Genomic DNA, 4,536 nt, shown 5'->3' on the forward strand with positions numbered 1-4,536 from the left:
TAAGGGCAGTGCAAGATGTGCTTTGTTAAACAGATGCTTGAAGGCAGCATGCTCGTTAAGAGTCATCACCACTCCCTAATCTCAAGTACCCAGGGACACAAACACTGCAGAAGGCCGCAGGGTCCTCTGCCTAGGAAAACCAGAGACCTTTGTTCACTTATCTGCTGACCTTCCCTCCACTATTGTCCTATGACCCTGCCAAATCCCCTTCTGGGAGAAACACCCAAGAATGATCAATTAAAAAAAAAAAAAAGAAAACTTGGCAAAGGATATGGACAGACAGGAAATCCAGCTGGATCTTCAGCATATAAAAGATGCTCTACCACACTGGTAATAAGAAAACTATACTTTAAAACTACAAGATACTATTTTACAGTCTCAGATAGGCCAAGTTCAAAAATGAGGAGAGTGGCTCGTGTCTGGGAGGCTGTGGGGTCTGCGCGGTCACTCATTACTCTCCTTATGCCCCCTGGGGAGATGGCATGGCAGGCAGTTTACCTTCCAAAGGTAACAGTTCACACACTCTTTAACAAAGCAATTCTGCTCCTTTGTCCTACGGACTTGCTTGCATATGAAATGGCCTGCCAGTGAGAATGTGCACTGCAACGTGGTTTCCAGTAGCGAATATGAAACCAATCTACATCTCCATAAATAAGAGATGGGTGAGATAGTGATGCATTCACAGAACCATGAGTAGCCATGAAAAAAATGAGTGTCTTTATATGAACTAATATGCAGAGATCTCTAAGAAATATTATTAAAGGAAATGCAAGGTGCAGAACTGTGGGTACACCTACCACTAATGTAAAACACTAAAAAGCATTGTGTAAGGATATAAAAGAGGTTGCTCATAGTGTTCCTTCCAGGGAAAGAAAATGGGATGACTGTGGGAGAAGGGTTGGAGGAGATTTAACTTTCACTTTCAAACTTTTTGCTGTGTTCATACTTTGTCTATTCAAAAAAATTAACAAATAAAAATGCATTTAAAAATTAGAGGCCAGTATTACCTACAGTTTCCAGCCTTCTGTGTAAAAGCAGATGTATTCACATTCTCCAGAGAAACAGAACCACTAAGGTATCAATATTTCCATATCTCTATATCTGTCTATATATACAGATTTATTACAAGGAATTGGAGGTTGAGAAATCCAGACCCCAGGCAGCAAATAGTGGTATGTGACTTGCCTTCATCAACAGAAAATGCTGGAAGTGATGTTTTGGGGCTTACAATTCCAGTCTTTAGAGAATTGTTAGCTTCTGCTTCTCCTCTTCTAGAGTCCAGACAAGGTAAGGTGTTAAACTGTACTGAGACAGCCATGCTGTGAGGAAGCCCAAGTTATCCATATGGAGAGAGAGACAACATAAGGGAGCACTGAGGTTCTAGACTTGTGGGTGGAGACTTATTGGACCCTCTAGCCTAGCTCAGCTCCATATATGTAGTCCATGCCATGAGGTGGAGCAGAAGAGCTGCCCAGCCATGCCCTGCCCAAACTCTCAACCCACAGAATTGTGAGAAACAATAAATTGTTGTCTTAAACCACTAAATTTTGGAATGTTTTGTTGCATAGCAATAGGTTTGCCCCTAACATACTGGATGTCACAAGGTGACAATTCCTTTACAGGGACAGCTGAGTGACCATCCCATGGGAAACAAATATTTGCATTCCTTTATCATGTTACTGAGGCGACATCTAATTGTATCCTTCTTTTTACCTTACGTGAGACACTAATGGGTGGTTTTCTCCTTGATCTTTTACAGAAGCAAACACAGCATCAAACAGCAAGGGGCTTCTAATAGGGGATTTGCAGATGGCCAGCCTATCTCAGAATAGGACACAAAGATCTTGGGGTACCTTGTTTAGGATTCAGACAGTAGTCCCTGTGAATCCTATATACTTGCTATGAAAAGGAAAAATTGGCTTGTCAATTTGAGGTCAAAATGGTGGATAGGAGGCAGGACTAGCAGCTCCTACTCAGACAGAGCAGCACGTGGAGATTCACATCATGAACTACCTCAAGAACATACCAGGAAACCTGAGAGAATCCACAGACCCCTTGAAGGAGGTGGATTGCCACTGCAGGCTCCATGGGACAGCTGAGGAAACTGCCAGTCTGTTTGCTTTCTCACCTGGAAGGCTTGTAGCCTGGGGCAAGTTCTCAGCCCTGCTCACTGGCTGCCTGGAAATAAACTGAGTGCTGTTGGGGGACCACAGTGGGAGTGAGATCAGCCTTTTGGGCTGTGGGCTGCATGGCAGCTGGGTGACGCCTGTGGCTGCCAGCTTTCCCCCCCTTCCCTGGCAACCTGTGTGATGCAGCAGAAGCAGCTATAATCCCCTTGGTAACATAACTCCATTGGCCTGGGAACCACACCTCCACCCCCTAAAGCAGCAGTGGCAGGCCCCGCACAAGGAGAGTCTGAGCTCAGACATGCCTAACCCTGACCAGACCTGATGGTCTTTCTCTACCTGCCCTGGTAACAGAAGACAAAGGACATAATCTCTTGGGAACTCTATGGCCCTGCCTACCACCTGACCTTAGGGCAAGCTTGTATCCTCCCTATACTACTGCAGCTGATGTGCTCTTAAAAGCACCACCTCCTGGCTGGAGGCCAACCAAAACAAAACTAGCACCTTTTGTTGTTGTCATTGTTGTTGAGACAGAGTTTCCCTCTTGTTGCCCAGACTGGAGTGCAATGGCATGATCTCAGCTCACTGCAACCTCTGCCTCTCAGGTTCAAGCTATTCTCCTGCCTCAGCCTCCCAAAGTAGCTGGGATTACAGGTGCCCACCAACGTGCCCAGCTAATTTTTTTGTATTTTTAGTTGAGACGGGGTTTCACCATGTTGGCCAGGCTGGTCTTGAACGCCTGACCTCAGGTGATCCACCCGCCTCGGCCTCCTGAAGTCCTGGGATTACAGGTGTGAGCCACCACACCCAACCAAAACTAGCACACTTAATAAAAATACAACCAAGGACCCTCACAGAGTCCAGGCGCTGGTATCCACAGCTGAGAGACCTAAAGACGGATCACATCACAGGACTCTTTGCAGACACTCCTCAGTACCAGCCCAGAGGCTGGTAGCTCTTCTGGGTGGCTAGATCTAGAAGAGAAATACCAATCACTGCAATTTGGCTCTCAGGAAGTCCTATTCCAAGGGTGTGGGGGAGAGCACCACATCAAGGGAGAACCCTGTGGGACAAAGGAATCTAAACAGCAGCCCTTGAGTCCCAGATCTTCCCTCTGACATAGCCCACACAAATGAGAAGGAACTAGAAAAACAATTCTGGTAATACAACAAAACAATGTTCTTTAACACCCTCAAAAAATCACGCTAACTTACCAGCAATGGATCCAAACCAAAATGAAATCCCTGAACTGCCAGAAAAAGAATTCAGAAGGTCAATTGTTAAGCTAATCAAGGAGGCACCAGAGAAAGGTGAAGTCCTACTTAAAGAAATTTTAAAAAATGATATAGGATATGTGATAAACATCATAAAAAATGATATAGGATATATCATATAAGATATAGGATATATGACAGGTTTTCCTTCATACGTTACCTGATACTTTTGCCTCATAACTCTTAAGATTCTTTCCTTCATCTTGACTAGATAATGTGATGAATATGTGCCAAGGTAATGATCTTTTTGTGATGAATTTCCAAGGTTTTCTTTGAGCTTCTTGTATTTGGATGTCTAGGTCTCTAGAAAGGCCAGGGAAGTTTTCCTTGATTATTCCCTCAAATATGTTTTTTAAACTTTTAGATTTCTTTTCTTCCTCAGGAATATCAATTATTCTTATATTTTGTCACTTAACAAAGCAAGCACTAGTAGCTATTCTTACATCAGACAAAACAAACTTTAAAGCAGCGGCAGTTAAAAAAGACAAAGAGAGACATTATATAATGATGAACAGACTAGCCCAACAGGAAAATATCACAATACTAAATATATATTCACCTAACACAGGAGCTCCCAGATTTATAAAACAATTACTACTAGACCTAAGAAATGAGATAGACAGCAACACAATAATAGTGGGGGACTTCAATACTCCACAGACAGCACTAGTCAGGTCATCAAGACATAAGGTCAACAAAGAAACAATAGACTTAAACTATACCCTAGAACAAATGGACTTAACAGATATTTACAGAAGATTCTACCCAACAACTGCAGAATATAGATTCAATGCATCAGCACAGGGAACGTACTCCAAGACAGACCATATGATAGGCCACAAAACAAGTCTCAACAAATTTAAGAAAATAGAGATTATATCAAATACTCTCTCAGACCACAGTGGAATAAAATTGGAAATCAACTCTAAAAGGAACCCTCAAAACCATGCAAATACACAGAAATTAACCTGCTCCTGAATGATCTTTGGGTCAACAATGAAATCAAGATGAAAATTAACAAATTCATTGAACTCAACAATAATAGTGAAACAACCTATCAAAACTTCTGGGATACAGCAAACGCAGTGCTAAGAGGAAAGGTCAGAAGTTCAGAGTGTTAAATGCCTACATCAAAA

The 4,536-nt window shown here is 42.7% G+C and overlaps 1 annotated feature.

The window, feature by feature from the left end:
- Positions 2,490 to 2,719: a silencer, noted in NCBI's record as "fragment chr10:43398966-43399195 (GRCh37/hg19 assembly coordinates)". NCBI's record gives its function as "represses an EF-1alpha promoter that drives an FKBP-Casp9 reporter gene in an ReSE screen in HepG2 liver carcinoma cells {active_cell/tissue: HepG2}" and the evidence as "EXISTENCE:reporter gene assay evidence [ECO:0000049][PMID:32094911]".

Source organism: Homo sapiens, chromosome 10 (genome assembly GCF_000001405.40).
Source record: "Homo sapiens chromosome 10, GRCh38.p14 Primary Assembly".
Lineage (NCBI taxonomy): Eukaryota > Metazoa > Chordata > Mammalia > Primates > Hominidae > Homo > Homo sapiens.